Source organism: Homo sapiens, chromosome 2, assembly GCF_000001405.40.
Source record: "Homo sapiens chromosome 2, GRCh38.p14 Primary Assembly".
Classification (NCBI taxonomy): Eukaryota; Metazoa; Chordata; class Mammalia; order Primates; family Hominidae; genus Homo; species Homo sapiens.
In genome coordinates, this window is record NC_000002.12 from 174342897 (window position 1) to 174357098 (window position 14202).

At 37.4% G+C, this 14202-nt stretch overlaps 1 protein-coding gene across 1 annotated transcript in view; it reads right to left on the reverse strand.

The window, feature by feature from the left end:
- Nucleotides 1–5125: 5125 nt before the first annotated feature.
- Nucleotides 5126–14202, reverse strand: part of CIRSR (corepressor of RBPJ and splicing regulator) — a 47691-nt gene continuing 38614 nt past the window's right edge. Inside the window, exons 8-10 of the mRNA NM_004882.4 lie at nt 8723–8829; nt 7764–7849; nt 5126–6276 (exon numbers count right to left, since the gene is read on the reverse strand). Of these exons, the coding sequence (NP_004873.3) occupies nt 5601–6276; nt 7764–7849; nt 8723–8829 (869 nt within the window). The 3' untranslated portion in view covers nt 5126–5600. The remainder of the gene's footprint in view (nt 6277–7763; nt 7850–8722; nt 8830–14202) is intronic.

Consider the following 14202-nt stretch of genomic DNA (forward strand, 5'->3'; position numbering starts at 1 on the left):
CTTGGATAGCAGGGCGCAAAGTCCTTGTCCATTTCCCAGTACAAAGTAGGTTGCTAGAAAATTTGAAATTGCCTTTCAGCCTAAAGCTGCCTTACCTGAATGTCATAATTACAGTAATTATGTACATCCAAATTACATGCTAATTAAATTAGAATCAAATCGTTCTAAATCGAAATCAAATGAGGTAGTGAAGAATTAATCAATGACAACATAAATAGAGAGCTTCCTTCAGAGATATTTATTGTAACGATACAAGGAGGAATTTGATCTGAAAAAGTCACCTGTTTGTTTACTTTCAAATTAGTAATCAGTTATTATCGCTTCTCCATAATTTTAACCGTTCAGTGTTATTTACCCCCCACCCTTCCCAGACGCTGGAGTGTATAGAAATATGTATGAGGTAAATACATACAGACATGCCTCCCCCATATATTGTTGATGTAAATATAGACTGTGTGTTTGCATCTCCAGTTAAGGAAAGGGTTTCAGAATGTCCGTGGGGACACGTCCCTCCAGGGCCGGCTGTCGAGGACCCGGAAAACCACAGCCCCTAAGAGTTCCAGATTTTCCAAGACCCTTATACTCTCTTCCTGTAGAATTTCATACTGGGGGTTTTGCATTGTTTTGCAGGCATGTAACCATTTCTGGGTGATTCATTTATCTATAAAGGAAATGCAAAGTGGCAGGGTGTCTGCCCCAGTCCGCATTCTGCTTGCAGATTGCTGACGAAAGTTGATATCTTCATGTTTGTCCCAGGAGCTTCATAAAGCGCCCTCTTCACCTGTGGAGCCCGAGCGACCAGAAAAATTCGCTCGCTTTCCTAACTGCTGAAGGCGAGTCCGGCCCGCGCGGGGGACTGCGCCCGAGGCCCGGCAAGCTTAGGCGGGGACTAGCAGGGCCCTCGGCGGGCGGGCCCCCAGCGAAAAGGCCTGAGAATTGCTTCTGGGGGGTGGCTTGGGCCAACGGGGGCGAGGGAGCCGCGCAGAGGGCAGGCCCCGACCCTTCCCCGCCGCACCTTGTGGGTCGGGTGTTGGGCGGCCTCCTGGCGCGGGAGGCGCATCTGCTAGGAAGGGTGTGCGCTCCCCCCTTCTCGGCCTCCCCATTTCGGTTTGGGGTGTTTTCGCAAGGTTGCCAGACGGTGCATCCAGAAGGAAACCACCAGAGCACGCAGGGGGGCGTCGCCTCAGGATGGGAAGGGGCGACCTCAGCCAGGATTCATCCCATCACCCTACTCCACCCCCATTCCGGCTTCCTTTAGGTTTAGGGCGACGTCCTCCTGGGAAGCCCTGCTCTGTCAACCCAGGAGCCCTCGGACCTCCACTTCTGTCCACCCCCTCGCGAAGCCCTTCAAGCCCAAGGGACTGGAGAAAGGCGGCTCCGGGGCAGCTCGGGCCGGAGGGTGCGTTTCTTTTCATTCCAGGCAGCTCTCCGCGTTCGTCCCGCACATCTTCGTCATTACTGCTACATTCTGGGCATTCTGGGGGTGATAAGTGTGGCGTGAAGGGAGGAGAAAGGGGAAGGTGCTGTGGAGTTACCTCTTCCTTTTCCATTAGCAGGAACCGGGTTTTAGGAGCCTCGATCAGGTAGGAGAGCTTTCAGAGGCCCCCGCTTTCCCAAACCTTAGTTTCCCCGGTCTGACTTGTTCCTCACAACTTTTTAAAGGTCTTTCTCCTTTTTGATCAGAGAATGCTCCCAAGGCCTGCAGGTATTGCATGCTTTTATCTCTTTTCAAGAAATGATAACTATAGCAGAGCTTTTCTTTTTCAGAAAACCTAAATAAGATTTTTAAATATCCTTCAGCTGCTGAAGCTAAAAATGCTACTTTCTTCCTGGTCTTACGTCCGGAGTGTGGAGTTGCGGCCCTCCAGAGCTACCTCCACCAGCGTCTTGGCCCAGTGGTCATTAGGTAAGGAGAAGAGTGAAATGGCTCAGGTGGATTTTGAACTCTGAGCTTCAATGCCAAAGCATACGAAATGTTCAGTGATTAAAACTGGGAAACGCCTGCTCCCAGCAGCGTGGAATGATTTGATTCACTATCAGCAAGCAGTCTCATGGAAGAACAGCAAGAAAGGTCTCTTCAAGCCTTTCAGATGAAAAGCTTTCTTAAGATTACAGCCCTATGGTTCAAAACAAGATCTCCGCTTCACAATGCAAGGTAAGCAGACCTGCCACTATGCTGCAGAAACCTCTGCCCATTTTGGCCTTTATTAAAATAAATTATGACTAATTTACCACAGAGACGTTCAGATAAACAAGTTCTAACCTAGCAACTTGGTATTTCCTGATTATTTATAAATCGACAGCACCTCCTACAGGAATTAATTTGTTAGTGTTATGTTAAATGTTAGGTTAGGGGAAAAGTCCCTGCGAAGGCAGAGGGAGAAATGCCTCCAAAATGTGTCCTATGCCTCGTGCAGTTCCAGGCTCATGGATAAATAAGAAACTTGTAAGTGTGCCAAGATTTTAAAGGAACTTCTCTATTAAGGGTAAGAATGACAAATTTCACCAGGCTGGTTTTCTAAAAAATATCCCCGTTGAGGACTTTTGTTTGGGTTCTTAAGTCGTAGATTTATTAAACGTGGAGGATTCTTCTTAGGCTTTAGGTACGTAGAGGAATCTCTACACGTACTAGACATCCCTTTTATTATGAGGTTCATCTTATGAGGTTCATCTCCTTGGTCTCTACCTTATATTTCAAAACAAAAGTAGAATTACATGTCCAATATTTTTATTTTAAAAAATTATTTTCCATCATTAGGGTATGTGGAACACATTAACTGAGCCTCTTTAAAGCTATTTGTTATCATGGTATGATTTTGTGTGAAAATGCCTCTCTTCCGTTTTTAAGTTTACAGTTAGAATGGTAGTTCGTTAGGGCTTTTGAGCACCCTTGGGTGACCAAGGCTGAAAGCCAAACAAAATGAACATCTTCCATAACTACATGGAAATTTTTTCTCAGAATTAGATGGTTAAAAATATTGGAGATTTTGGCAGTACTTTATAGTTTCTCAATCCTAACAATAAGGATAATTAAATCAGAGACTAAAAAAAATCTCATGGCCACTTTATAAAAAGTGGACCACATTGGCCAGGCATGGTGGTTCACGCCTATAATCCCAGCACTTTGGGAGGTTGAGGCAGGCAGATTGCTTGAATTCAGGAGTTCAAGACCAGCCTGAGCAACATAGCAAGATCTCATCTGCATTAAAAAAGTGGACCACGGTTTGTGAGTCAAATGAAAAAAGTGTAAGAAATAACGTTTTAAATTCATTTTTAATTTTAGGATGCATTTCAGCATTTCTCTTCATGAACACTGTATTGCTTCAGAAACCCTTTAAGGTAGTAAGTATTGCATAGGTTTTGACATTATAAAAATTATAAAGTCTAAAAAGGCATAAGGTAGAAAATAATCACTGCAACACTGATGAACTCAAGGTGTAAATTAGCAGTGTTTACCAATTTCAAATGCATGCTTTTTTTTAAGTGAAGAAGGGATCTTTGAGGTGCGCTGTAAGTTATTTAACAATACTGTGGAAGGAATTCAAGTTCCTCCCCGCCCCACCCCCACCCTGCGTCTTAAAAATCTAAATAATCAAGGGTTGTTTACCTCTTCACTTAAGTTTTTCTTAGAGGACACTTGTTTTGTGTGTGTGCACAGACAAGTCAAAGACATAATCAGATGATGTGGAGTGGTTTTACTTCTTTCAAATGTTACTCCTACAGAATTTATGAAATTGTGACTGCCAACTATCAAAACCATCTAATCAGTATTTGTTTTGTATTAAATAGCAGATGGTTAAAAAATATAGAACACTGATAAAAAAACTTGTGTCCAAGATGTGAAGTTATGTTTTTTGGAACTGCATGTTACTTGTGATTTGTACCAGTTCTTTCTGTAGTTTTCCTTTACCATATCCTTTGAAACACAAGGGAAAATTTGCAGCTAAATTTAAATATGCCTTATATACCTATACTGGTGAAATATCAAAACAGTTTGCATTGTTTCATTTGAAAATCTACCCCCTGCCCCCCGCCACGGACCACTGGTACGATCAACCAGGTATGAAGTAAAATCTTTAATAGTTGTATGCCAGTAATAGAAGGGCCAATTGTGGAAGGCAGAATAATAGTCCCTCATAGATGTACACATCCTAACCCCTGGAACCTGTGAATATGTTACATTACAAAGAAAAGGGGAATTAAAGTTGCAGATAGAATTAACATTGATATTAAAATTGGGAGATTATTGCATGATTCTTCAGGTGGGCCTGATGTAATCACAAGGTCCTTAAAATTGGAAGAGGGATGCAGAATGGCAAAGTGTCAGAATGATTAGATTTGAGAAGGACTTGACTCCTCTCTCTTAGCTTTGAAAACAGAGGAGGGGGGGCCAGGAGCCAAGAAATGCAGGCAGCATCTAGAAGCTGGAACAGGCAAGCAAACATATTTTCCCCTTGAGCCTCTAGAAGAAACACAATTCTATTGACATCTTGACTTTAGCCCATGTCAAACTTCTGACTTCTAGAACTGTTAATACAGCTGGACTGTTTTTTGTTTTGTTTTGTTTTGAGATGGAGTCTTGCTCTGTCACCCAGGCTGGAGTGCAGTGGCGTGATCTTGGCTCACTGCAACCTCCGCTCCTGGGTTCAAGCAATTCTCCCACCTCAGCCTCCTGAGTAGCTGGGACTACAGGTGCGCACCACCATGCCTGGCTTTTTTTTTTTTTTTTTTTTTTGAGACGGAGTCTCACTCTGTCGCCCATGCTGGAGTGCAGTGGCGTAATCTTGGCTCACTGCAACCTCCACCTCCCAGGTTCAAGCGTTTCTCCTGCCTCAGCCTCCCGAATAGCTAGAACTACACTGCATGCCACCATGCCCAGCTAATTTTTTGTATTTTTAGTAGACACGGGGTTTCACCATGTTGGCTAGGCTGGTCTCGAAACTCCTGACCTCAGGTGATCCGCCCGCCTGGGCCTCCCAAAGTGCTGTGATTACAGGCGTAAAGCCACCGTGCCTGGCCCCGTTGGACTGTTTTAAGTTTGAGGTAATTTGTATACCTGCACAGAAAACTAATATTATCCAAATGTAAACAGCTTATTCTATAGAACAAAACACCTAAAGGGGGCTTAAAAGTCTTAAAGATTTATTAATCCTTAATTTATACTAATGAATTTGAATAATTATTACAATTCACTTCAAGCAAATTCAAATCCTAGAATAACAAATTTGAATTGAAAAAAGTAAATTATACCCATTCAATGTACTGTCATTCTTTTAATGATGTTTCAGAACAAAGAAAATGTCACAGAGTTATATGCGGTTTTTATCTGGTATGGGGAACAAGAAACAGTTACCAACAGAAAATATTTCCACAGCCCCAAAATAGCTTACTTACAAATATTTGCAAAATTCATTCTTATAGTACTCATGTAGTTTTGTACTTGAATTGACAGTCTAGAGATGAAAAATTAAAATTGAGCTTTTTTATTAGAAAGACAACAGTACATAATTTACCCCTTGCTAAAGGTATTCAATAAAAAAGTGGAGATATTTTTATTCCCAGGTAATTGTCACATACAGTCTTTCTTCTCTACTTCTGCTTCATTCTCTTTGTGTCACTTTAGTATGTGTACCTCCTGGGTGCTCTCTGTACATTTTTTCTCCTCTATACAAGTCTGTGCCATGGCTTCTGCTGTCATTTCTTCTGCTTTGCTCTTCACCAGGATTTCGCTGTGCCCGTTTCCTTGTCTCCCTTTGCTTGTAACTACCAGGACTTCTGCTCCGGCTTCTCCGGCTCCTTTCCTCCCTGCCGTGGCTTCTGCTGCTCCCCTCCTTTCTTTCAGAGCCTCTCTTCTCTGGGCTATGTTTATGGGTTCTGGACTTTTTGTCAGAATCAGAATGGCTCCATTTGCTGTCCTCCCTAGAACTCTCGTGTTTTAAGAACCTGGGCTTTTCCTTGGCTTTTTCCCGGTTATGGTGACTGCTAGAAAGTTCTTCATGAAGCTTTCTCTTCTTAGACTTGTCCTTCTCTTCAGAATCACTGTTGTTATGCCCTGAACACTTGTTTTTCTTTCTTTTCTTCCTTTGTATTTTTTTTTCTTTATTGTTACTCTCACTCTCACTACTGCTTTCTGAAGTCTCAGTAGAGGAAGAGGAGGAGGAGGAGGAAGATGAGGAAGAAGAGGACTTATGTTTTTTGTGTTTACTTCTGCTCTTCTGAAACTTTTTCTTTTTTCTATCTTTTTTCTTTTTTTTCTTCTCCAGTCGATCTAATTTCCTGTAATTGGGAAATAAACAGTAACAGACTGTGTGAAAAACAGTTATTTCATCAACTGTAAGTTATGAACAAACAATATATTTTCTTAGAAGTTATTAAAAATAGTATCCATGGCAGAGCGCGCTGGCTCATACCTGTAATCCCAGCACTTTGGGAGGCCACGGCGGGCGGATCACAAGGTCAGGAGTTCGAGACCAGCCTGACCAACATGGTGAAACCCCATCTCTAGTAAAAATACAAAAATTAGCTGGGCATGGTGGCACCTGCCTGTAATCCCAGCTACTCAGGAGGCTGAGGCAGAAGAATCGCTTGAACCCGGGAGGCGGAGGTTGCAGTGAGTCAAAATCATGCCACTGCACTCCAGCTTGGGCAAAAGAGTGAGACTCTGTCTTAAAAAAAAAAAAAAAAAAAAAAAGAACTGGTATCCATATATGAACGCATTGTTTACTAAATGACAACTCATTTTCTTCCTTTAAAATTATTCAAAGCGTGAATACATTAAATTAAAAAATTAAATGCATCAAGCCAATTTTCTGACTATACTTCAATAGTAATGACTACTTTTTTGTTAAATTCTTACTGAGTTGAAATTATATAGCACTCTAAAGGGTCATCCTAAAGAAAGCCTGTGAAAGGTGTGTAACATCAGTTGGAACTACTAAAAAAGCAAATATATAGCTATAATCAGATGAAAAATTAATTTTATGTACTATTTTATAGTATATAAATATTAATCAACGTTATCAAAATTCAAGAGAATATTCTCCAGAAATTCTGAGTAAGAGTACACATTAAACTTCTGAAATATTGGTTTTATAAAATAATATAGTTAATACTTGTTTTCAACAATTGTTTAGTTTTATAAATAGGACAATCCTATTAAAACATTCTGAATTTCTAGAGTACTTCACATTCTTGGAGGAGTAACTTGTTTATATGGTATGTTTGAGTTACTCTGAAAATAAGTCTCTAGGTTCTGTCTAGCCATTCTCAAAACTCTACATACTGAAAGCATCATGAGCTCCCTCTATTGGACCCAGCAGACATTTCTTGGATTCTTTTAATTCAGAGGTAGTCTGTTTAACAAAATTCACGTTTACCTTAAATTTAAGCATTCTTTCTGCATTCTCATAAAATTTTACAAAACATTTTAAAAATGGCCAAAAATGTTTCCTAAGAACAAATTGTGTGCGAAGATACACACAAATCTATTTTGAAAAGTAAAAGCTATAAATAAGTCTAATTCTAAATTAAACATTCTGAAAAGTGCAATCGTTTTGTGGTACAATCTGAGTATACAATCTTACACTCATTTCCATGTTACTGAAAAGACAGACAAAATTGTATTAGCTATGGGTGAAGAATAATCAATAAATGTGATGCATGGTATAAGGACCTTCATGAGCTCTTAGGATCAGAGTTGAATACGATACTGAGATGAATACTAAGGAAAAAATAAATCTATTAAATATATACTTCTAAATTACCTGAGAAGTTTCTGTTTTTGTTTGGTTGTTAGTGACTTTAAAAATTCAACTTCTGGATCTTCTTCACCCTCACTTGCAACATACTCCTGAGTCAACAAAGATATCATTAAATTGCTAGATTTCAACACAAGGTAGTTAGTAGATAAAAAAGAAAACATTTATAAATAAGTTTTGTATCAGGGACACACTGTAGATGAATATGATATTTTGGATTGGGAAGTGGGAGAGAATTAAAAAATTTTTTTGTAGTCTCCCTGCCGAAGTGGATCATACAGCACTAAGAGGTTAACATGACTGCTTTGCCAGCATTAGGAAACTTTTCCAGGAAAAGGATGATAGACACACACAGATAAAATGTTTAGAGCATGACTTCCATTCTCTATCTCTTGAATGTTAACTCTTGCCAGTTTAAATACTTTATTTTTAATTTAATGAAATATAAAAAAGAAGATTATGAGTTTTACAGGAATGTCAAAATATCCACAATTTTAGCTTTTATTATAATTTCAACAGCACATTATCAAATATATAATAATATAGCCCTTCAAACTCAATCATTTTCTGGATCTATGTATAGTTTAATAAAATAAATAAGTTTAAAATATTTTCTACAATTTTTAGGAGTTTTTACATACTTCTAACCATTGGTTCTATTTAATGTCATATCAGGGGTAAGTTAGCAGGAAGGAAAAACCAACAACCTCATCACCAGTTCAGTTAGATATTTTATCCACATAAACTCAGAGGAGCAGTTTCATTTATTAAAATACAGGTTTATAAACAATTTCTCATTTAGATTAAAATAATAAAGCAAAATCAAAACACATTTTGGGCATTTTCTTTGCTCTATCTTACTTTCCTATGGATATATGCATATTGGAAAACATTAAGTAGCAATTCACAAGCAATCACATTTAGATTTATAGACATTTTCAGCTTACTGATAAAAAGATCATTACCTGTGATGGATCATTTGCGGTCAAGTTTCTCCCCAGTACATTTCGTTTCAGTGCAAACCCACTGTTTCTCATCTCCGCTATTAGCTCCGAGGGGTGCATCGATGGCCCTGTTCACAAAAATCACAGTTTGAATGTATCATTTATATCTCTCTACCTTTTTCGGACTCCACAGTAGGAATGCAGTTGAAGCTTTGTTAAGTAAAATCACAGCTAAATCAACTCAATAATCTTCTGCTGAGCAAATAATCAGATATGATTTTCTAAAACAGCAGTCTGGAGATTCAGAATAGAAAATAATTGCATTTTTCTTTACGTGCAAGGGGAGTCTTCTTATGTAACTTTGTCATATTGAAAAAGATACATTTAGATGTTATCTGGTTGGCAGTTTTTAGTATAAAATCAAAGCAAAATATTATAATAAAAAACTACAATTAAACTTTTAGTAGTTATTCTCTCAGTAAGAGTTCATTTAAAAGATGTATTTTTAAAGGTACATGAGGAATTTATCATCCTTATTTCCAATTCAAAATTCCTCATCCTTATTTGTCAAATAACAATACTGAATACATTGCCAAGTGGTTGCTAATCACACACACACACACACACACATACACACACACACACACCTATGGGTAACCACCAAGTACTTTAATTAATCTTGCTTTTATTCCCAGATTTCAAAATTTTTAATTACTAGCTTGGGTTGCTAACAAGCAGTTTTAGGCTGGCTATTGGTATGTATGTTTTATATTTTTTTACACTACACTTCCACTTTTGCAAAATCTCAGACTGAAAAGTGAGCTTTTTGTTTCCCAAATATGAACTAACAATAAATTTTAAAAATTTTCAGCTGGGAGTGGTGACTCATGCGTGTAATCCCAGCATTTTGAGAGGCAGAGGCGGGAGGATCACTTGAGCCCAGGAGGCCAACTTGGCCAACATGGCAAAACCATGTCTCTAAATAAATAAATAATTTTTTTTTAAAGGTTTGCCCCCTGCCCTCAAACATAAGGTTTATGTAAGGTAAGAGAGACTCTTATCTCATTTTGTATATTCCTGTTTCATTTTGTTTTCCCTGCAGATAGCAAACTAATGACAACATTTCATGGCAGCTATTTAAAGTTGCCAGCCTAAATCACCTACACTGGCTTAAATGACGTACTCCAGCTGATGTGTCTGTCACTTAGGGAAGAATGAGACAGTTACTGCCAAAAAGGAGTTCATACGGGAGGGTAGGGGGATAGAAAAATATTCAGAAATGAGTTCTTTAGTTTGCTGGTTGAATACTTTGTCTATTTCTTTTTACTGCTTTGTTGGTCTTTTACCACTTATTTGCGCACTCACCTGCATATTATCATGGAAAGCAAAAGGCAATCAGTTCAAATTTGTTTACCTGTCAATAGCAGATGTGGTTAAAAATTTGGTGAGAAAAACTCAGTTATAAGATAATATATTTTACTGGACTTTCCAGGCTTTACCATTCCATTCATATTGCGAAGAACAACTGTAAGTTTGCCCTAGGTACTAGGGAGATGATGGGGAAAAACTGTCTATTATTGGAGTATGGGGGAAGTTATTAATGATGTCATAGTTTTAGGAAAAAAAGCCTTATTTAGTTAAAAACAAACAAAAACACCTGTCTTATATTAATATTTCATTTTAAACCAAGAGGGTTTTTAATTTTTTTCTTCTATACAAAATGTTTAATTCCTATGTATTACTTTAATGGCCCTTTAATTATTCAGTCTGGTTGTTAACATTGATAATACAATCTTAAATAAAATTGAATTTTAAATATTAATACTGGTTGCCTCTAAATGGCATAGAGGTGCTCATACAATTAAGAGCTTTTTGTGTGTGTGTGTGTGAGATGGAGTCTTGCTCTGTTGCCCAGGCTGGAGTGCAGTGGCACGATCTCGGCTCACTGCAACCTCCGCCACCTGGGTTAAAGCAATTCTCCTGCCTCAGCCTCTGGAGTAGCTGGGATTACAGGCAACTGCCACCATGCCTGGCTAATTTTCGTATTTGTAGTAGAAACGGGGTTTCACCATGTTGGTCAGGCTGGTCTCAAACTCCTGACCTCGTGATCTGCCAGCCTCAGCCTCCTAAAGTGCTGGGATTACAGCCGTGAGCCACCGCGCCCGGCTCAATTAAGAGCTTTAAATGAATAATAGAATGTTTACTTTGGTGGCTTCTCAAATTTCACATGTAGGAACTTAATTTTATAAAGTAGAAAATGTCTCTTCTGAAGTGTCAAAACTACATTTCCTTGTCAACAATTTTATTAGATATCGAATGAATTCAGACACCAAACTTGTTAATAATTAGAATAAAAACCACTCCAATAAAGGGTCACAAAGCTTGGCCATCATGATGAGAGGTTATACTAATTTCATCAGTTTTCATCACAAGATGGGTAATTTTAATAAGATGTTATAGAAAGCATGCCTTCTTTACAGTACTTCCAACTATGTCAAGAAAATGATGTATTTCCCCAGTGTTACAGAGATTATACAGACTATTAAACAATCATTACTCTTCTAGCATTTATATTTTTCAAAAATCCCAACTGAAAACTCTGTGTAGTATATAAATTTAGCACACTTTCACAATGTATGACTGTAAATAGAGTGCTTAGTGAAGTGCTCGACAAATAGTACTTAATAAAGAGTAACAACTATTATTTTTACCAGTACCTATTCAACTTTCTTATATAAGAAATTGTCTTTTTATAAGATATATTATATATGTACATATATTACTTATATATGTACATATATATTTTATATATTATATATAATATATATTATATGATATATATAATATATTATATAATATAATATATAAAATATATATAATATATATTATATTATATAAATTATATTATATATATCATATAATATATTTTATATATTATATAATATATATTATATTATATATATTTTATATATTATATTATATATTATATATATCATATAATATATATTATATTATATATTTTATATATTATATAATATATATTATATATTTTTATATATTATATAATATATATTATATATTTTATATATTATATAATACATATATTATATATAATATAATATATATTATATAATATATATTTTACATATGTATATATATTATATATATATATATTTTTTTTTTTGGTAGAGACAGGGTTTTGCCATGTTGCCCAGGCTGGTCTTGAATGCCTCAGCTCAAATAATACACCTGCCTAGGTCTCCCAAAGTACTGGGATTACAGTTGTAAGCCACTGCACCCGGCCACTATCCAAATTCCATGACTATCTTACGGTACTTTTCATAATACAAAAAAATGCTCTTAGTAGTAATACTTTTCACAATGCAGTCTTATTCACATTTTTTTTATACTTAAACCTTCTCCTATCAACCAAAGTTCTGAGTTTAAAGTTCTAGGTTTAGGAGATGAAACAAGTCAGGTTTAATCAAGATATATTTAGCAAGTATCTTTCTACTTTCACATTATTATGACAGAGGCTACGTAGAGTTACACTGACAGAAATGACTCCAGATCTTTTGAGAACTCAAAATTTGGTTGATAAAATAGATGATTACAGATACGTTGATAAAATAGATTACACAAATATGTTCAAATGTAAAATAACTACTTTTATGTATGGTGCCTTAATAATTTCAATTATAGCTGGAGTTGGATCTTAAAAATTGTTTGGCTTATTCTTAAATTTGTCATGGTAGAATAATACTAGAGAATTCAGAAAGAAGGCATTTGTTCTAAAATGCAGATTTGTGAGGGCTCCTTTCTAGATCATCTCAGCCAAGCCTTCACAGCATTGAAAACCAATGTTCCCACTTAGAAAAGCAGGTCCACTGAAGAAACTGCTTTCAACATTCATTTATTTTACAAACTTTTCTTTGCTGTGATATGGATAAGTATCAAAATACCAATTGTGTACAGTTCCATGTTCTGATTAGACCCAGGCTCTACTAGAAAAATACCATGAAATCGAGTCTCAGGAAAGAAAAAATTCCTAGAAGGTAAATTATGCTATACAAAATTATGTGTGTAAAGCGCTTAATCTACTCACTAAGAGTATTCATTTTTACAGAACAAAAACAATGAAAGGTAAAAAAAGAATGTCCTGTTGTAAAATAGGTATTTTATCAAAGAATAATATATAAACTCAAAAGTTCTGGCTATGAGGAAATGGCATACAACTGACTCCACAATTATAGTATGGCAGTCCCAGGGGAATGCCACAAATGGCATAGGAGGGAGACTAAAGCTGAAGTCAAAGACACTTGTGTTTCACTGCAAACACTAGGTCCATCTGCTCCATTCGAAGTTCATCATTCTTTTCTTTAGCCAGGATGGTCTTGATCTCCTGACCTCGTGATCCACCCACCTCGGCCTCCCAAAGTGCTGGGATTACAGGTGTGAGCCACCACACCTGGCCCATCATTCTTTTCAAACAATGCATTATCACCTACAATTTTATGGTATTAAGTAGGAGAAAAGGGGGCAGTGAGTTGTAGGTTAGGTAAGGCTGAATTAGAAATGCCTTTCCTGGCCAGGCGCAGTGGCTCATGCCTGTAGTCCCGGCACTTTGGGAGGCAGAGGCGGGTGGATCGCCTGAGTCCAGGAGTTCAAGACCAGCTTGGGCAACATGGTGAGACCCTGTCTCTACAAAAAATACAAAAATTAGCTGGCCGTGGTGGCGCACATGCCTATACTCCCAGCTACTAGAGAGGGTGAGGTGGGAGGATCACTTGAACACAGGAGGTTGAGGGTGCAGTGAGCCTGTGATCTCACCACTGCACTCCGGCCTCAGCAACAGAGTGAGATCCTGTCAAAAGACAGACAGAAAAAAAGACAGACGGGAAGGAAGAAGGGAAGGAAGAAAGAAAGAAAGAAGAAAGGAAGGAAGGAAGGAAGGAAAGGAAGAAAGAAAGGAGAAAGAAAGGAAAGAAAGAAAGAGGGAGGGAGGGAAGAAGGAAGGAAGGAAGAAGGGGAAGGGGAAGGAAAGAGGACAGACTGACTGACTGGCCTGTCTCTCCTTCTCCCAAATTTAATATATTATGTACTTAATTTATAGGATGCCACTGTTGGCTGAAACTAAATTGCTACCCTAAAGTGAATATAGTTTTGCTTCCTATTACAGTGATGATCTATTTTTTTTCCCTTCTCATTGTGTGTGTGTTTTAATTTAACTTTATACTACGGAAAATTGCAAACCTACATCACATAGCTTCAACAATTAACAATATTTTGTCATTCTTGTCTTAGCTATTACTTCCAAATTTATTTTTTTCATAGAATATTTTAAATAAAATCTCAACCTCAATACCTTTATTATGCTTCTCAACATTGATAATTTTAAAATGTCATCGAATAGTCAACATTCAGATTTCTCAAACTGTCTCAAAAGTATCTTTTTACAGTTGGTTTGCTCAGATTAGGATACAAACAAGGTCCACATATTG